At 38.7% G+C, this 21,539-nt stretch overlaps 1 long non-coding RNA gene across 16 annotated transcripts in view; it reads right to left on the bottom strand.

Annotated features, from left to right (window-relative positions):
• Positions 1-21,539, bottom strand: part of TNPO1-DT (TNPO1 divergent transcript) — a 245,434-nt gene that overhangs the window by 110,413 nt on the left and 113,482 nt on the right. For 4 of the 16 annotated variants that reach the window (NR_186517.1, NR_105007.2, NR_186513.1 and 1 more), the window contains 3 exons: positions 12,024-12,255; positions 8,996-9,177; positions 8,381-8,428 (listed from right to left, as the gene is read on the bottom strand). This is a non-coding gene — a long non-coding RNA (TNPO1 divergent transcript). Of the gene's footprint in view, positions 1-5,592; positions 6,030-8,380; positions 8,429-8,995; positions 9,178-11,167; positions 12,256-15,080; positions 15,165-21,539 lie in introns of those variants that run through there. The other 12 variants (NR_186516.1, NR_186514.1, NR_186521.1 and 9 more) reach the window with 6 other exon arrangements.

Raw genomic sequence — 21,539 nt, forward strand, 5'->3', positions numbered from 1 at the left:
GGACCTAGTAATGTCCCCAACCAGGCTGCAGGACACCCCCACCCAGCTGGTGACCAAATCCCAGTGGCAACTCAAGCACCACTTGCCTTCTGGTCTTCATCTCAGCAGTGCTCACTTCCCAGCATTAGCAGCTGCACCCCACACCTCATTCATTTCTTGATCCCAACTGCAGGAGTGCTCCCAGCTCGCTCCCTAGTCCCAGCAACCACAGCCTGGGTTTCCATAACACCTCAGTCCCAGTGCCACTGTGCTCCAGGACAGTCTACAGTCTGTCAAAGCATGGGTTCGACAGTGGGGCCTTGCTATAGCTTCTTATGTCTTTGAAAAGGTATGGGACCCAGCACGAGCTCCCTCCCTGGTGTCATTTCATCCCATGGTCTCCTGGCAACTCCCCCATGTTGGTTTCAGGGGTTAGGAGGGTTGAGAGGTAATTTTGTGGCCAGCATTGCATGATTCATAGTGAGGACATGGGGCACTAGAAGGCTTTCACTCACTCTTTCCTCACATGAAGAACTTACTCACGGCTCTCAGCAAATCCTGGCCAGGGGTGCTGCCTCTCCACCTTTTCCTTCTCTACTTCTGGTGTTTCCTGTCACTTCTCTGTTGAATTCCAGTGTCTTCTCTTGGATAATATATTTGAAGTGGAACTGTTTATACACTATTTTGGTTCTTTTAAGTGGAAGGGGTGGGCATGAAATGCTTCTAGTCAGTCATCTTGAAGCCCACCCCTCAGGCACAGAGAATATTTAGGCCAATGAAACTATTCCATATAATGCTATAACAGTGGATATGTGTCATTAAACATTTGTCAAAACCTATATAATGTACATAAAAAGTTAATCTTAAACTATGGATTTTGGTTTATAATGAAGTATCAGTTTTGGTTCATTGATTGTAACAACCGGACCACACTGGTGTTGGATGTGCATGGTGGGGAGGCTGGAATGTGTGTAGCAAGAGTTTATGTGGGAACTCTATGTACTTTACATTCAGTTTTGCTGTGGACCTAAAACTGCTCTAAAAAATAAAGTCTATTAACTATATTTAAAGGAACATCATGGAAAAAAAAGCTTAATGGATGAATTAAACAGCAGATTAGAAATAGAAAGAATTAATGAATCAGAAAAAAGTTATACACAATGCAGCATAAAGAGACAAAAACTACACACACATACATACTTATACACACACTTCATATATAGCAATGAAGTTAAGAGGTACAGAGAAAAGAATGAGAAGGACCAACATACGTCTACTCAGAGCTTCAGAAACAGCAGAGATTACAAAAAGAATAAAGGAGGCCTGGAGCAGTGGCTCATGCCTGTTAATCCTAGCACTTTGGGAGGCCAAGGCAGGTGGATCACCTGAGGTAAGGAGTTCAAGACCAAACTGGCCAACATGGGAAAACCTCGTCTCTACTAAAAATACAAAAATTAGCTGGGCATGGTGGCACATGCCTGTAATCCCAGCTACTCCAGGGGCTAAGGCAGGAGAATCGCTTGAACCCAGGAGGTGGAGGTTACAGTGAGCTATGGGCGAAAGAGCAAGACCTCATCTCAAAAAAAAAAAAAAAGAAAGAAAGAATAAAGGAATGACAACACTTGAAGAGATTGTATAAATAATATTCCAGAATATTCCATGCATTTTTTAATCAAGAAGCACAATGAATTCCACACAGAATAAATAAATATAAAGACACACCTACACACATCATAGTAAGATAGAAGAATACTTAGAATACAGAGTCTATCTTAAGAGCAGCTGGAAACTATACAAATTACCTACAAAGAAGAGACAAATAGACTGACAGCTGACTTCAAAATCAACAGTGGAGGCCACATAAATAATTTCTTAAATGTGCTCAGTGAAAATAAATAATCATGAACCTCAAATTTTATACTCCAAAAACCTGCCATTCAAGAATGAATAAAAATATTTCAGAAGAACAAAACCTGAGATTCCCAGTAAAGAATTTCTAAAGGGTGTACACCAAGAGAAAGAAAAATTATTTTAGAAGAAAATCTGCAACACAAGAAATGACAATCATACCCAGTAGTCCCCCATTATCTACAGTTTTAGTTACCAGTGATCAACTGCAATCTGAAAATAGGTTAGTACAGACGATAAGATATTTTGAGAGAGAGAGAAAGAGAGTTTGACACGTATCCACCATTATTACAGTATCATATGGCACAGTTTCATTGCCCTAAAACTTCCCTGTACCTGGGGAGTGGGCTTCAAGATGACTGACCAGAAGCATTTTATGCCCACCCCTTCCACTTAGAAGAACCAAAATAGTGTATAAACAGTCACATTTCAAATACATTATCCAGAGAGGACACTGGAATTCAAAGGAGAAGTGACAGGAAACAGCAAAAGTGGAGAAGAAGGCAGAGAGGCATGGTGCCTGGCTGGGATTTGCCACATTCATAGAACTTTTATCACAGTACATTGTTACAATTGTTCTATTTTATTATCAGTTATTGTTGTTAATCTCTTACTGTGCCTAATTTATAAATTAGAATTTATTATACATATATGCGTATAGGAGAAAAACACAGTACTGTATGTATGTAGGGTTCAGTATACTGCTGTATAAACTCGGATGATCTTTCAGGAAGTCAATTCAGCTTACACATTCTACCACTCTGCCAAGCCCATTCCAAACACACATTATAGATATTACTTTTCAACCATGACTCTCTTTTCAGCTTAGAGCAGAGCTTCAGAATCTTTCTCAACACAACACTCAAGATAGTTAAAGCTAATTGCTCAAAATTAAACAAATCAATTTGCCACAGTGGGATAAAAATACAAAAAGAGTCTTAGCCAAAATTCTCCAGGATATAGAGTATGAGGCAAACATTTTTGCTCCAGTGCTTTTTTGGAGGTGCAATCCTAAGGAAACATGAATGAAGGAAGCAGAAATGTGAGGCAGGGAAGGAGGGAGAGCAAATTCATCATGATGCATTAAGTATCACAATGTTGCACAAACAAAACATCTCTAAAGAGGTGCCCATACCACTGCTTGTCAGAACAGTCCACTGGATGAAGGCAAGATGAATCCTTTTTCTGCTGGTCCCTTCCATCTTTTGTTTCTCACTGTCAAAGTCCCCCCACAGGGCAATAGCCCTCTCTCTCCCTCCTTCTCTGGGTTGTGTTGCCTGGCCTCTCCAAGCAGCCACTGGGAATGCTATGGCCTCTGTGGGTCCCATCCAGAGACACTCACGGTGTGTCTTGTTGGAGGTGGTGCCAATGGCAGGGGCAGGGGTGGTCACCAGGGCTACCTAGGGCAGCTCCATCAGACAAGCAAGGAGAAGCAGGACCAAACAACTTTGGGCTGTTGCATAAACCAGGTTTGGTACAAGTATGATCCCATTTTTACAAAACGTTTAAAAGGCTATGTATAACATAGATATTCACATGTATATATTTGCATGGTTAAGTCTGAAGGGCTATACCCAAAAATGTCTATAGGGGTTACATCTAAGTGATTTTTTTCTTTGTCTTGCTTGTCTATGCCTCTTAGGCTTGCTATAATAAATTCGTATTTCCTGTATAAAATAAAGAAGCAAGGCCAGGCGCGGTGACTCACACCTGTAATCCCAGCACTTTGGGAGGCCGAGGCTGGTGAATCACCTGAGGTCGGGAGTTTGAGACCAGCCTGACCAACATGGAGAAACCCCGTCTCTACTAAAAGAAAAATACAAAAAGTTAGCCGGGCATGGTGGCACATGCCTGTAATCCCAGCTACTCAGGAGGCTGACACAGGAGAATCGCTTGAACCTGGGAGGCGGAGGTTGTGATGAGCCGAGATCACGCCATTGCACACTAGCCTGGGCAACAAGAGCGAAACTCCATCTCAAAAATTAAATAAAAATAAAATAAAATAAAGAAGCAAAGATACACGCTGGTAATTAAAAATCATATTTTAAAGTATAATATTATCTAATAAATCACAATAAAATTTAAAAAGTGATACTCATAAACAAAATTATAAAGTAAAAATGACCTGCAAAAAAATTTAGTAGCATATGACAAAAAGTATATACGCCCAAGTAAGTCTCAAATGATAAATAACAAATAGAAAAATGGATAAACGGAATAAATAGGAAATGCATCCAAAATGTATATGTATGAAAAATTATTGCAATTAGAACCATGAAAGATGATTTTTTAGCCATAAAATTGACAAATATTTTTAAACAATACTGTGTTGACAAGGGTTCAGGGGAAAGCTCTTCATGCACCAATGGTAGACACATCAACTGTACATCCCAACTAAAGGACAGTTTGGAATACTGTCCTTAGAGCTGAATTGTTCCTCCCTCCTCCAGATTCATGTTTTGAAGTCCTAACCATCAAAATGACTATATTTGGAGATAGGGACTTTAAGTAGGTAATTAAGGTTACACGAGGTCATAAGGGTGAGTCCCTAATCCGATGGGACTGGTGTTCTTATAAGAAGAGAAAGAGAGGCCAGAGACCTCTCTCTCTCTGATGCACACACAGGAGAAGGGCCATGGGAGGACATAGTGGTAGCCTGCAAGTCAGGAAGAGAGCTCTTACCAGACACCAAACACTGCTGGAACCTTGCTGCCTCCAGAACAGTGAGAAAATTAATTTCTATTGTTGAAACCACAGTCTGTGGTATTTTGCTATGATGGTCCAAGCAGACTAATACACATAGCAAAATATTTTTAAATGTGTATGCCTAAATTTAGCCCAGCAATTTAATTTCTGGGAATTTAGCCTAAGGAAATAACAGATAATTTTCTGCAAAATTTAGCACTGTTTCCATTAGTGAAATTTGACAGTGAAGCTGCTCATACCAGAGTATAATGTATATAATAAAATTGAAATCATGGGGTAGAAAACATTAGTGAAAAATTTAATGATATATTTTTAAGTGAAAAAAGCAGATTACAAAATAATGTCATATGACCCCATATATACATGGTGCAGTAGTCAAGCACATGGGCTTTGAGGTGCCCCGGGGGTACAGCCCAATTCATACACACTAGATGGATGACTCTGGGCAAGTTCCCGATTGCCTAGTGCCTCAGCCTCTCCATCTATAAAAGGGGAATGCAAAGGTCTACCACCTATTGCTATGAAGATTCAGATAATGAGGCCATTATAATTAAGGGCTACTACAGATAGTGGCAGCCGAGTGGGTACTTTGGACTCAAAGAGTCAGAGGGCTTCAGACCTGGGTCCAGCCTGCCTCCACTAAGTATATGACCTCTGGCAAGTCACTCCACCTCTCCTGGCTTTAGGTTCTTCATCTTTAGAATGAGGACTCTGACTGGCTGATCTCTGAGGATCCTTGTGGCTCTAACCTCAAAGGATGAGACTCTGTGTCCCATTAATAATGGGAGCCATCATAGCTGTAAGCAACATAAAGAAGAGAACATCATCAGCTGCATATCGCAGCCCTACTCCTCTGGAAGTAAGCAGGGGTTCCCAGCCTTGCATGTAAGAGCAGAGTTTCACAGTAAACAATTCCGCCATTCCCCACGTGAGAGTGGCAGTAGTTTTCATAATCACTGGTTACAAAAATACATCATGGCAAAAAGCTATGTAGCATTGCTCTTAAATTAGTTTTTATTTTAATTAAGCCCAATAGCAACCTCATTTACTTGAAAAATCATAACACATATATGAGAGATGCTTCATTTATCTCAGCCACAGGCCACGCTTGGTGCCCTTATCTTCTTGCAGGCCCTTCATGACCACGCGAAGACCCACTGTTTGAGAACCACTCAGATAGGGACAATTTGGAAACAACTAACAAAAAGGAAGTCTCCTCAAGACCTCCCCGGGAAAGTAGGGGAGGAAGATCTTTCTTTCTCTGCCTGTCTCCAGTTTGAAACTGAGCCAAGGTGTGCAGTGTGCTTGTAGTCTCTGGGAATACTTCTGGTTAGAGTGCCAAACAGGGTCTAGACACCTCTGTAGCCCCTGGGTTTCCATGGGAACTGTGTGAGTTGAGCACTGTGCTGGAAGCAAAATGCACTCCCTCAGCAGAGCTGGAAGCATAAGAAGGTGATAGATTGGATTGTCTCCTCTTTAGATAACCTTCATCATCCAAGAAAGATATTAGCACCATCCCTGGAACTGAAATCTTATTGTTCATTATGATTGCTGAGTGTGCAAAGCTACAAATTGCTACAGAAAACACTGGAACCCATGATTGAAGCACATGGTTTCCAGTCACTAAATGTCTCTTAGTCTAAGTTCCCTCATCTAAAACATTGAAAGTGAAAAGAATGCTAAATTCAATGTGTTGTTAATAAGATAATTAGAAGCTCCTGATAAACTACAAAGCATGATGGAAAGGTTAATTATTATTATTACTAGTAGTATCATGGAATCTTTTCAAGTTAAAAAATACTTGTTTCTCTGTCTCTGCAGAAATCTGGCAACCCAGATAGAAAATCTTTTAATAGCATACAAGAATGACCAGTTTAATACCCAGCAAAACCCACGCATGTTTATTCATCTGTCAAAGGTGCCCTCTGTGCATAAGAATGATCTATAGAAGCCCAAAGGTTGATTATAAAATCTCAAGTGTCTGCTTGCCTCGAGTCATTTTAGATGAGCTATTCAAAATGCATCCTAGTAATCAGTTTGCTGTGATAGACTGGAATAACAAGGAGGAGGGCTTGATTTCCTCTGCTGGAGAGGAAGCACATCCATTGTTGCCTCCCTATCCGTGGGTTACATATCTAGCTCTTTGTGCTTAATAATATGACTCAAGACTTGAAATTTGTGTTCAAATGTATATGCTAGGAAAGAACATGTTACTTTATAAGAAACTGAAAAACTCACAGACAGAAATGAAATCAAACAGCTCACTTGGTATCCAGTATTTCCTAGAATTTGAGGGCCTCTTTATATTTTTTGGAAGGTATAATTCTTTCACATTGCATATGTGCCAGTAAGTTCTTAAAAGTGGGATCTTACTAAATACATTATCGAATATTTACTTTGGTCTTATCTGCTCTGTCATGCTGAGGAAACACTTCCAGTCCAAATTATTAATTAATATCCAATTAAAATCCCAATGCATCTTGTTAACTAGAGTTTAGGAGCACTGGGCATATCCTGGTGATCAGAAGACATCAAGATGCAGAGAATTCAGACCTAGACTGACAATGTGTAAGCAGTGTCTCTCCTCTTTTGTCAACTTGAGGATGTCTGTGTCACTTCTCTGATCCTCCATTTCCTTGTCTGTAAAATGAGTAAAAAATGCTTCCTAACAGAATAAAATGAGAAAATTGGGATAAAGTTGTAAATGTTAAATAAATGTTAATGATTGTTGCTGCTATTATTGGAAAGCTATTAGAGTAAGAACTGTTTGTCCAATTATTCTCAGTGGCCCAAATGCAATGATTGATAGCTGTCATTGTTATTTCCCTTACCACCTCAGTACAGTACGAACCCCCCCAAGGAAAAACATGTGTATATGCTGAAATATTTACAGATGAAATGATGTGATGCCTGGGATTTGTTTCAAAAATAAAAAAGCAAGTTGTAAAATAATACAAGCTATATGCTTCCTTGGAGATAGATATAGATATGGAAATGAAAATGGAAACAGATGCGGATACAGACACAGGCTGAGCAGCAGAGACATAGATGTAGATATAATGCCTAATACTACTAAAGTGATTATATCTGAGAGTAATAAAAAGAGAGCTTTCTTTCCCCTAAAATTTAGATGATTGCCTAAATTCATATCCTCAGAAATCTCCCAGCCAGCCTACCAAGTGATGCTCGTTGTGTTCCTTTATAGTGCCTAACACAATTCTATAAGTATATTTTCTTTTGTTGGCTTCCTTGTTTATTGGCCGCCTCATCCATGAGACTCTACATGTCAGGACACAGAGACTATGGCTGTTTTGTTTATCATTGTGTAGCCAGAGCCTAGCTTAGAGTCTGGCACATACATATATATTAAATGAATGAATGAATGAATGAATGAATGAACAAATGAACAAGGATCCATGCAGGAAAGCAAACGTCTCCACCCAGATAAGTGCATCAGGCTGTAAAGCTGAGGGCATGGGTTGAGTCAGTAGGCATCAAAGGACTGGCATAACAATAAATATCTGCCTGCTATATTGGAAATGAAAGGTGAAGCATTATTGAATGATCTCTGCTTAAATTCAAAGAAACTCCTCCAGGCAATACTTACTTAAGAATCCAGATCTTTAAAATCAAACCCCCTCCTGCAGATGGGGAAACTAAAACCAGAGAAATCACACAGTTGGTAGGTGGCAGAGCTGGAAGCCCAGGTCCTTGTCTGTCAGCCTAGCACTCTCTCAACTGGCCCTCACTGACCCCATTGTAACAGCAATATATCCCAGGCACTCACAGACTGATTGCTCCAGAGGTTCTTCTTGGCTTTTGTTGGCACTGGAGCCTGAAAGTAAATGAATAGACTTGCTTTTCCTATGGCCTTTTTATAGGTTGTTTATCACATAAAATACAGATTTATACCTAGTTTGACACCAACATTCCTTTTATTGCAGAACTATCTCAAATCCCAAACCAATATGAAACTCACTTTCTTCCTCTGACTTCCACAAAAACTTGCCCAGTGTCCCTCAGAGCCAGGTTTGCAGTTCATTGTCAACTTCGTTGGTGTTTTATAGTTATATTTAATTACATGTGATACACGTATTAAATGCATGTAATAGTAATTACATGTATTGAATGCTTACTGTATGCCAGGCACTATTCTACATGTGTCACATGTTGTGACCAATGTTCAAAACAACCCTATGGAAAAGTGATATTACGCCCATTTAAAACATGTGAACTGGGACACAGGTTTCAATAACTCACCTAATTAGCAAGCGGAGGAACTGGGATTGGACCCAAGCAGTCCAGAAACCACACTGATAACTAAAAGTGGTTGTGTTGTCATTTTGTTGTTGTTAAATAAGATAGGTGTTTATTTCTGTGTTGAACACTAGCACAGACGTACCTGGTCCAGGGCTGTGGGGGAGACTCCACCTTCCTCAACATGTCCCTCTTATCTCTAATCCAAGACTGTGGCTCTGCTAACCGCCGCTTCCCAGTCAGTGGGAAGGTGGAAAGAGGAATACTGGAGCAAACCGCTTCCCTTTCTCTTTCTTTAGCAACTTTTCATCTTGAAAAATTTCAACTCTATAGAAAAAAAAGGAAAGACAAAAAAATGGAACCAAGAGCTTTTCACCCAGATTGATTAATTGTGGACATTTTGCTACATTTACGCTATCTCTCCCAGCCCATTAGAAACATTATAAATGAAAATAGTTCACTTGATGAGGTAAAATATTGAGGATAACTTTTTTATTCCCTTTATGGTCAGAATGTTTGTCCCGCAAACACACAGCACACAAGAAAAAACTTTTTTAAAAACATAAACACATGAAAGCCACAACACAAATGTGGCCAGCCTAGTTTCTCCATACAACATAGAGATAGAGTAAACAGAGAGGCAACTGGGATAGAAACAGAATGAACTTTGGAGGCTGGATGCAAGCCGCAGCTCCACTACTTTCTGAGCTTTGTGATAATTGGGCAAATTACTTAGCCTCCCTGAGCTTCCATTTCCTCCTGGGTAAAATGTATAGGAATTATTAAAGATCTGTATTTCCAATGATTCTAATTTAGTAGGTCCAAGGAATCTGCCAAAAATCTGCCTTTTTAACAAGTTCAATGTAGGTGGTTCACAGAACACATTCTGAGAAACATTGAGTAGGAAGGAAGTTAGCTAAGGAATTTCTAAAATGGGGGAAAGAGACCTCAAGCCCTTTACAATGTCTCTTCGGCTCTTCCTTCCCCCACTATACCCGCTTCCCCTTCCCCTTCCCTTATCTTCTCCCGCCTTGGAGGCACCACAGTTTTACCTCTCTGGCTCCAGTTTGGTCTTCTCCAAGTGAAGTCCTCCTATATCATCTTCTTTACCCTACATCCCACCCCTAATTCATCCAAGTTTTCCCACCGGTCTCTAACATAAAGCTCATGCTTCAGACAGCCCTGTCTGCACCTACAACACCTCCCACTTGCCCTTACTCTCTGCCTCCTGTTCAGAGCCCATCTCGGGTCCTCCTCTTCCAAGAAACCCTCCCTCATTATTCCCACCACCCTGAGATCCCCACTCCTTAAACGGTTTAGCATTTAACTCTACTTTGCATTATTCTCCTGGCCCCCTTGTTTTATTCTGAGCACCTCTAAATAAGCTCTGAGCCCCTTGAGGAGCAGTGATCTCTCTTTCCTCATATTCTCTGTGACACTTAGCATACTACTAGACACATAGTAGGCACCAACTCAACCTAAACTGACTGGCCGATTACTTAACTGACTTATTGAGGACGTCTAGATGAGATCACAGAAAGCAGCTCTGAAAGGGTGAGAACAAGTGTGGAGCTTATAGGTTGATGAACCCACTTAGGGGCTCTTGAGTAGCGTTGACCAATCTTTGAGGCTGTTTTAAATAATGAGCTGTTAGTTAAGTGGCAAGATAAAAGTAGAGTTCACAATAAAATCTAAAATGAATGAAAAGCAATGGGGAAACAGCTGCTGTCTCATGCTCTGTTGTCTCTTTGATGAGTTTCAATTAAAAATAGCCTTAATACATAAAATTCCCTGGCGAGTTCCCTTTATTGTCCCTTTAATATGTTACTAAGGAGTTATTGGTATCATTTCATGGCTCCAGCACAAATGCCTCTAGGATTTATTGCTAGGTTCACATCTCTGCTCTTTTATAGATTTCTTCCAAGAAGGGCTTGAATACAGGGCTCCCATTATACGTCCCTTGTGGTAGTTTGGCTACAGCAAGCTGCATCAGCAAATGGCAATAAAGCTCACCAAGGCAACAACGATTACTCACCAGCAGAGTTTGATTTAGAGCAGAATGTTTCTAGAAAGATTCTGATGTAACCCTTTTACTTCCATCTCCCAAGAACATAGAAATGGAAAAATCAATTACAGCTCTCGGGTTTCATATGTTGCTGAGTTTTGCCATAGCAGGAGGCAGGATGGTAAAAAATACACACACACACACACACCCGCACACACACTTCTCTTTAGACAAAGCCATTTTGCAAATAACTAAAAAACAGAGTGCTTCCAAAAAAGGTGGTATGTTTAATTAAGACAAATTACAAAGAAGTACTATTAGAAAGACCTTATTTTTATTTTATTTAAGGGCTTAAAAAAGCTTAAATCACAAACTCTTAGTTATGTCAACAGGCTGTCAATAAAAATCAGTAGGCTGGGGTCACTAGAGTCACTAGCGCACTCATCAGTCCTGGGTCTTTAACCAGTGGTCATTGTCAAAGCTCATTAGCTCGCTCTATATCCAGAGTGGAGACACCATCTATCAGTTACTGTTACTTCGTGACAAACCATACGAAAGAGAGCTTTAAATCCACCTGTGCTTTAAGCCTGGGAAAGAGAGGATAAATGTCCTCGGATATCAGCTCCAACAGAGAAAGTGTCTGCAGAAGGCAACAGGATGATTGTGTATGGGTTGGGCTGGGTGGCTGTTTTGTTTAAATTAACCAATGATTGCTGACTTCATTCTACAGACCTGACTTGCCCTTTCTGGATGTTTCCTAATCTCACTCTCCATAGAAGACCGAAAAATGAGTGTTGTGAAATTAGCACACGTTTAGTGACATTATAATTAGATAACTTTCCCCCTCGAAAGTCCAACTCCTGAATCACTAAACAGATGTGATGTCTGTTCAATGTTTATCTGACTGTAAAAGCAGAGAACAGAAACAATACACTCCTAATTATGCAATAGGGCATGACTCCCCTGACACACAGCCATCAGACACTGCCTTTCTTCATTTTAATACCCTCGGGTATTACAATTCAATAACTTCAGGTATTATTGCCCTTTCTTCTTTTTACAAAAATTAACAGATCATTTGAGCAAACATTTTATTCCCACCTTAGCCAACTTGTACTTATCTAAATGACTGCCATTCAGAATTGTATGATGGACCCCCTCCACCTACCAGATGCTCGGCAAAAGTCTTAGTTCATTAGATTGTCTAATGACCAACAGCAGTGCTTCCCAAACTTTATTGCATTTTCAGATCACCCGAGGATCCTGTTAAATTGTAGCTTCTGATTCAGGAAGTCTGCCGTGGAGCCTGAGAGTCTCCAGCTCTAACAAGCTCCCAGGTGATGCTGATGCTGCTGATCTGAGATGCACACATTGAGCACAGATAACCTTGATAATCTTCTCTAAAATTTCCAACAGAAAATAGAAACACAGTTACGTAATTGCATCTGATTTGTTTCCTGAAAGATAACAATGATTATTTTTAAAGAGAGTGGATTTTAAACATGAATTTTAAAACACAGTAGTAATCTCCCTAAATGTTATCTCCATGGATAGACATCTTTTTAGATCTCAGAGAGGTCCTTTGAGGCCAATGAGTATTGACTTCAGGAAGTGATCCAAGGCAGAACACACACAGATTCATTTAAAGCAAAGCTTAAAGCCAATAGTTATCCACAGCTGCACTATTGATGACTGCTTGGCTCTTCCTTTGCAGTAAATGTACATAAACAAATCGAAATATGCTCTCTTTATTTTTGAAAACCTCTTCCTGAGAATAGGATTCAAGTTCATGTTCTCACCTATAGCATCTGCTGTGCAAAGTTTATTTAAGTGTGACGTACTTAAATAAGATTTCTGAAATTACTAAAATTAACTCCCTTAGAAATTTATTAGCCTAATATAGATTCAACTATGGACATAAATGTCAAAGATTCACAATATTCTAGTTCACATTTCATGATTTTATGATCCTGTACTTAATAGCAACTTTCTTCTGAGGAGCTCATAACACCTCATATTCATTCTCCCAATAAACTTTTCTGAGTTTGTTAAGACAATGGGTCACATTATAAATTTCTGGATTTGCAAGGTTAATATCTAAAGGCAATATAATTTTTCTATAATTCGGGTAAGTAGATACTAAATAGAACATCTAGGTTGAATATGATTCTCTTATTGAGTATAATTAAGCTTTCCAAAAGAGTGGTTAACACCATTAGACTCACAGATACTAGCATAATTTCCTATACACACAAGGAACATTGTAATAAAACAGCTGAATATATTCATTCCACAGATAACTAACATCTGGAATAATAATAATAATAACTATTGTTTATAATAAATCATGGACTATTCTAAACATTTTACATATAAGTTGTTATTCTTTAAAACAACTTTATATGATAGATGTTATTATTACACCCATTTCACAGATAAAGTGAAATGCTGAGAGGCTGAATAATCAACCCAAAGTTATAAAACTAGTAAGTACTAAAGCCAGAATCCAACCAAACCCAGGCAGCCTAACTTTTGTGCTCAAGCTCTACCATATGCCAGACACCATCCTAGGCAATGATGATGAAAATTAAAGGTGCTTATGGGAACGGCAATGTGTTGTATTCACAGCATCTCCACTGATGCACAACTCACTTCTCCCTATCATTAGTCATTATGTCCTTCTTTTCAGCTGAGCTCAAATTTGGCCTGACAGCCTTTCTCAACCCAGAGTTCCAAGGCAGCCATTATCAACTACAGATGGTACATGAATCAAAATTTATTTGCCATGCCTGATTGTGTGCACAGAGCACAATCATTTCCTAATCTTTAAATACTTGTATTTCAAATGCTTATTCGCAAGTTGGTATAGGTTGCACCAGGGAATTTTCACATCAAAATTCTTTACAAATGCCCTATACAGGCTTTAATATTTCTTTAGCCTAAGAATTTGGGAAGGACACTTACCTGCCTGAAATCCTATATTATTTTTTAAATCTACTATCTATAGGAAAAATTAAAATTAGAATCCTATATCCTAAAAATGGGAATGATAGACACTGGGGACTACTAGAGAGGAGGAGATAGAAAGTGGGGAAAGGGCTGAAAAACTACCTGTTGAGTACTGTGCTTACCACCTGGGTAATGATTTCAGTTTATCCAAACCTCAGCATTACACAATATACCTTTGTAACAAACCCGCACATGTACTCTGCTCTAAAATAGAAGTAGAAAAAGAAAAAAAAATTGAATCCTATGTCCTACAATATAAATACATTCAGATTTTTAAATTTTTGTTTAAAAAAACATACTGGAAAAAATATGAGATTACATTTTTACAATCTTGAGGGGAACAAACATTTCTCAAGCATGATGAAAGTCCACAAACAACATAGAAAGACAGATTTAACTACACAAAATTGCAAAACTTCTTTACAACCAGGATACTACAAGGAAAGTTAAAAAACAAATGACATCATTTCTGGATAGCTGAGATAATGGTGGCTACCTAAATCTGAATATCTCCACACATCCTCCCAAAAACAACATAGGTCAAAAAGAAGAAAAAAGATACATACACAAATTCCACACCTTCATCAAAACCAGTAACACTACAAACTTTAAATTATCTGTAATTAACAAAAAAAATGTATGTACAGACACACTATACTAAATCTTCCACTACAAACCTTAGCAGAGATTGATCAGGGGAAAGAGGATCTCCAGAAAATCTGGGAGGAAGAGAGAAGAGGGGATTAAGCTAAAATAGCTCCCAGAAAGAGAAAGCCCATCTTCAATGTCAAAATACTGAAAGAGAGTTTTTGTGGATAAGAATACAGACAACAAGGAAGAAACTGAAAAGTAACATGAGATTCAGGGAGGCAGTTCTGGAAAGGCTGGGGAAGAAAAAGATAAAGGAAAAGTTTTGGTGATCTTTGGAGACTGCGTAGAGAATGCAAAAAGAAACAAGAGGGAAAGATTTAGGAACCTGCAAGACAAAAGAATACAAAAATAATCAAAGGACACACAAAATTATTAGGGCTAAATAATTCTTTATTATGGGGGGGGTGTCTATCTTGTGCATTTGTAGGATATTTGGCAATATCCCTGGCCTCTACCTACTAGATGTCATTAGCACCCCACCCCTAGATATGACAACCAAAAATGTCTCCAGACATTGTCAAATTCCCCTGAGGGGCATAGTCACATCCCATTGAGAACCACTGACCTAGAGCAATGATTTGTGAATTTCTGATTGGTTTGTTTGTTGTTTGAAGTCTCTTCTTTAGATGTTTTGCCTTTTTGTAGTAAACTTTTAAGGGGAAAAAAATAATGAAAATTAAGGAAGGAAAAGACATTTCACTCCTTCGTTCATTTATTTCAAATTCAGTAAGAATTTGTTGAATGTATTGAAAGGTAACAGACATTGTGTAAAAGATGAATAAGTAAGGCAAGCACAACCCGAACTTTTATACTTTTCATATGACTTATTTAATTTAATATTATCATGGATTGATTAACATCTACATTTCTAAGAATTGCTACCACAATTATTTTTAATCTAGGATCTTAACACACAAGCAAAACACTATATATGTCGTTTTGCTACAAATGTTTAGAAAACTCACTGTGGATAACTATTTTTGGTGCTATCATTGAAATTCTCTTTGTACAGTATTGTTAGATATTGCTATGATAATGTTGTGTAACATATAACCATAAAATCTCAGTGGCATACCACGATAGGCATTTATTTAATTTGCACATCGCTGTGTGGGCCAGGGCCCAGCTGATCTAGCCTGGGCTCAGTTTGGGTGGCTCTGTTCCTTGTGCCCCTCACCCTCTTCCACCTATGGGCAGTTGAGAGGAGGCATATTCTTTCATGGTAATGGCAGAGGCACAAGAGAAACAGAATCACAAAAGAATTGGACTCAGAACTGTTATGCTGTTGCTTCTGTTCTATTCTCTTCAGCCAGCACAATATCACAGGGCAGAGAAAATATCCTCCACTCACAGGAGTGAAGGGAACTGTAAATTCACATAGCAAAGGACAGAGACACAGCAAGGGTTGAAGGATTAGGGCCAATGTTACCATTTACCACAGCAAGAAAAAAACCTTAATTTTGTTTTCCTATTTCAAAGTTAAGATTTCCAGGCTGGGCACAGTGGCTCACTCCTGTAATCCCAGCATTTTGGAAGGCCAAAGCAGTCAGATCGCTTGAACCCGGGAGTTCGAGACCAGCCTGAGCAACATGGTGAAACCCCATCTCTACAAAAATAGAAAAATTAGCCAGGTGTAGTGGTGCACGCCTGTAGTCCCAGCTACTTGGGAAACTGAGGTAGGAGGATTGCTTAAGCCCAGGAGGTTGAGACTGCAGTGAGCCTTGAGCGTGCCACTGAATTCCAGCCTGGGTGACAAAGCATTACCCTGTATGAAAAAAAGAAAAAAGAAAAAAAAAGATTTCTGAACACAGACTCTTAATTAATCCAATAGCAGAGTAACAGTTTTCAACAATGAAAAAAATGAAGTCATCAACTTCAGAGGGATTATGATTTCAGTATGCTTTTTTTAGAACAGCAGCAATACCAAATTTATTTTTTTACAGCAGTTCATTTCTAAAGACCAACATTTCAATGATAAATGCCAGCAAGTGACTTTTACTATCATCTATACTACACCTTTTAAAGGAATTTTAAGCAAGAAACTTTTTAGATGTCATTATTTGTATTCTTTATTTGTTCTTAAAAAGAATTTTTCTGAAACATAACACTTCTTAAAATCAAATATGAATCCCTCAGATTTAGATTTCCACATTCTTTATACTCCAGGGGAAAAAAATAATTGGATTGTGCTTTCTCATTCGTGACCATTTAAATATTCAGTTTCTTAGGTTACATTTTAGTGTGTTTTTATGTTTTATTCAGGACACAATGTTCCAGCAAATATCACAAACCCAAATCAATGGCTTATACCGACATTAAATATGTCATTAACATGCTTGTTTCCAGGAAAGTTCAATGAGAAGACGTCAACAAACCTGCAGAGAAAGGCTTACTGCATTCAAAATAAATGATAGAAGAGGCACCAGAAATAACTTAAAACATTTAGGATGATCAAGAGGAGAAAAAGAAATGTGAAAATATCTAGCTGTCTTGGCAGACAAAGATTATCCCGATTTCCATATACACAGAGCTAGCAACAAAACAAAGTGTATGTCATTTTCCACAGCAATCACGCTGTTCCTTTCATCTCTGGGACTTAGATGTTCACAATGTAATGTGACTAACACCTTAGGTCCCTGGTCTCTAATGTCCGTGTCACCACAAGCCACAGCAGGATCCCACAGTGCAGCATTTCCAGAAAACAGCACTGAAAGATCAGCAACTCAGATAGAGGCACCAAAAAGAAGATACCATATGTCAGGTTATAGAAGTTTTTCATCTCTTTTTCATTCATTCACTTACTGAACAGAGAACGTTTACTAGTCATGCCTTTGAAAGGTAACACATGTCCCACTGGCTGGGATTGACCTTGAAAATGAAGAGGGAGAGAAGGCTGGGGCTAGCCCAACGATGTTGAGCAAGTGAGAACTTCTTAGTATTCAGAAATAAGGGGGGATGGCATCTGCTGAGGTGGCCTGTAAACTTTAGTCTGTAGAAAGGTTTGGCAATACACCTTTGGCCTACGGTGCTTTAAAGAAAGTTTCAGATTAGAGGAGGATGTGCTGGTGGCAGGGGGTCATGAACACTGACAGCAGAGAGAGGGGCCTGAAGAACTTGAAGAACAGACCAAAATCCCAGGTATAAACTCAATCACTTATACTCATCTGAGTTCATTTTTGAGGCTGTCTCATAATAATTCATATTCACAATGATGACCCAGAGTCACTCAGAAGGTATTGAATTGTGTTCAATTCACTCTTTTTAAAAATGCAAAATAAGTAAAATTCTTTTTTAAAAGATTTTAATGAAAAGTTGTTACATATTTTTAAGAGCTGTATTGAGGCATAATTAATGAACAATATAATCCATATATGTAAAGTGTACATTATTGGAGGTTTTGATATATGAATATATCTGTAAAACCATCCCAAAAATTATGAAAATGAGCATACTTATTACCTCCAAAAGATTATTCACACCCCTTTGTAATGCCTTTTTCCTGCATATCTCCGCCCCATGAACAATCTCTGGGCAACTATTGATCTGCTGTCACTGTAGATTAGTTTTCATTTTCTATAATTTTGCATAAATGGAATCATACACTATCTAATCTTTTTGTTTGGCTTCTTCCAGTCAATGTGATTGTTTTGAAATCCATCCATATTGCTGTGTGTATCAATAGTTCATTTTTTTCAAATTGCTGAATAGAATTCCATTATGTGAGCATACTATAACTTGTTTACCCTTTTACCTGTTGATGGATATATTATAATTGTTTCCAGCTTGGGGCTATTAAAAATAAAGTTCTTGAAAACATTTATGTATAACTCTTGGTATGGAGATATGCTCGTTTCTCTTGGATTAATACCTTAGAAAGGAATGACTGGATTAGACAGTAGGTATATGTTTAACATTTTCAGAAATTATTTTTAGAAATTGTTTTCCAAACTGACTGTAGTATTTTCCATTTCTTCCAGCAGTAGATGAGAGTTCCAGTTACTCCACATCTATACCAACACATGGTAGAGAGTCAGTCATTTTCATTTTAGATATTCTAACAAGTCTGTAGTGGTATCTGAATGTAGTTTTAATTTGTATTTTCCTAGTAACGAATGAGGTTCAGCATATTTTCATGTGCTTATTTCCCATACATATATATTTTTTGGTAAAACTACTATCCAAATGTGTTGTCCATTTTTTAATTGCGTTGTTTGTTTTCTTATTATTAGTCTTTGAAAGTTCTTTATATATTATTTGTACATGTCCTTTATCAGATATATGATCTGCAAATATTTCCTCCCCATCTGTGGCTTGTCTTTTTATTCTCTTTTTTTTCTGTCTTTTTTTAAATTTTTTTTATTATACTTTAAGTTCTAGGGTACATGTGCACAACATGTTTGTCACATATGTATACATGCGCCATGTTGGTGTTCTGCACCCATTAACTCATCATTTAGCATTAGGTATCTCTCTAATGCTATCCCTCCCCCATCCCCCCACCACATGACAGGCCCCGGTGTGTGATGTTCCCCTTCCTGTGTCCAAGTGTTCTCATTTTTCAATTCCCAACTATGAGTGAGAACATGTGGTGTTTGTTTTTTTGTCCTTGTGATAGTTTGCTGAGAATTATGGTTTCCAGCTTCATCCATGTCCCTACAAAGGACATGAACTCATCATTTTTTATGGCTGCATGGTATTCCATGGTGTATATGTGCCACAATTTCTTAATCCAGTCTATCATTGATGGACATTTGGGTTGGTTCCAAGTCTTTGCTATTGTGAATAGTGCTGCAATAAACATACATGTGCATGTGTCTTTATAGCAGCATGATTTATAATCCTTTGGGTATGTACCCAGTGATGGGATGGCTGGGTCAAATGGTATTTCTAGTTCTAGATCCTTGAGGAATCGCCACACTGTCTTCCACAATGGTTGAACTAGTTTACAGTCCCACCAACAGTGTAAAAGCGTTCCTGTTTCTCCACATCCTCTCCAGCACCTGTTGTTTCCTGACTTTTTAATGATCACCATCTAACTGGTGTGAGATGGTATCTCATTGTGGTTTTGATTTGCATTTCTCTGATGGCCAGTGATGATGAATATTTTTTCATGTGTCTGTTGGCTGCATAAATGTCTTCTTTTGAGAAGTGTCTGTTCATATCCTTTGCCCACTTTTTGATGGGGTTGTTTGTTTATTTCTTGTAAATTTGTTTGAGTTCTTTGTAGATTCTGGATATTAGCCCTTTGTCAGATGAGTAGATTGCAAAAATTTTCTCCCCTTCTGTAGGTTGCCTCTGATGGCAGTTTCTTTTGCTGTGCAGAAGCTCTTTAGTTTAATGAGATCCCATTTGTCAATTTTGGCTTCTGTTGCCATTGCTTTTGGTGTTTTAGACATGAAGTCCTTTCCCATGCCTATGTCCTGAATGGTATTGCCTAGGTTTTCTTCTAGGGTTTTTATGGTTTTAGGTCTAAGATTTAAGTATTTAATCCATCTTGAATTAATTTTTGTATAAGGTGTAAGGTAGGGATCCAGTTTCAGCTTTCTATGTATGGCTAGCCAGTTTTCCCAGCACCATTTATTAAATAGGGAATCCTTTCCCCATTTCTTGTTTTTCTCTGGTTTGTCTAAGATCAGATGGTTGTAGATCTGTGGTATTATTCCTGAGGGCTCTGTTCTGTTCCATTGGTCTATATCTCTGTTTTGGTACTAGTATCATGCTGTTTTGGTTACTATAGCCTTGTAGTATAGTTTGAAGTCAGGTAGCGTGATGCCTCCAGCTTTGTTCTTTTGGCTTAGGATTGTCTTGGAAATGCGGGTGCTTTTTTGGTTCCATATGAACTTTAAATTAGTTTTTTCCAATTCTGTGAAGAAAGTCATTGGTAGCTTGATGGGGATGGCATTGAATCTATAAATTACCTTGGGCAGTATGGCCATTTTCACGATATTGATTCTTCCTATCCATGAGCATGGAATGTTCTTCCATTTGTTTGTGTCTTCTTTTATTTCGTTGAGCAGTGGTTTGTAGTTCTCCTTGAAGAGGTCCTTCACGTCCCTTGTAAGTTGGATTCCTAGGTATTTTATTCTCTTTGAAGCAATAGTGAATGGGAGTTCACTCATGATTTGGCTCTCTGTTTGTCTGTTATTGGTGTATAAGAATGCTTGTGATTTTTGCACATTGACTTTGTATCCTGAGACTTTGCTGAAGTTGCTTATCAGCTTAAGGAGATTTTGGGCTGAGACAATGGGGTTTTCTAAATATACAATGATGTCATCTGCAAACAGGGACAATTTGACTTCCTCTTTTCCTAATTGAATACCCTTTATTTCTTTCTCCTGCCTGATTGCCCTGGCCAGAACTTCCAACACTATGTTGAATAGGAGTGGTGAGAGAGGGCTTCCCTGTCTTGTGCCAGTTAAGGATCTTTTGAAAAGAAGAAGTTCTTAGTTTTAGTGAAGTTCAGTTTAATTTGTTTTTTTATATATCATGTTTTTGGTGTTTCATGAAGAAATATTTGCCTAATTTTGCTAGGTGCAGTGGCTCACGCCTGTAATCCTAGCTGTTTGGGAGGCCAAGGCAGGCGGATTGCTTGAGCTCAGGAGTTCAAGACCAACCTGGGCAAAATGAGGAAATCTTGTCTCTACTAAAAATACAAAAAATTAGCTGGACATGATGGTGTGCTCCTGTAATCCCAGCTACTTGGAGGGCTGAGGCAAGAGAATCTCTTGAACCTGGGAGATGGAGGTTGCAGTAAGCCAAGATCACACCACTGCACTCTAGTCTGGGTGACAGACTGAGACCTGTCTCAAAAAAAAGGGAAGGGAAAGGAAGGGAAGGGAGGGGAGGGGACGTGAGGGGAGGGACGGGGAGGGAAGGGGAGGGAAGGGAAGGGCCTAATTTAAGGCCAGAAAGAGTTTTCTCCCCATGTTTTCTTAATCACCAAATCAATCTGGTTCAACTTTTATGTAACAAAGCTGAGTTGTTTTTCAGTTGCCACAGACCGCCCCCAGGCTGAAGGTCATGT

The sequence above is a fragment of the Homo sapiens genome, chromosome 5 (assembly GCF_000001405.40).
Source record: "Homo sapiens chromosome 5, GRCh38.p14 Primary Assembly".
In the NCBI taxonomy this organism is placed as follows: Eukaryota; Metazoa; Chordata; class Mammalia; order Primates; family Hominidae; genus Homo; species Homo sapiens.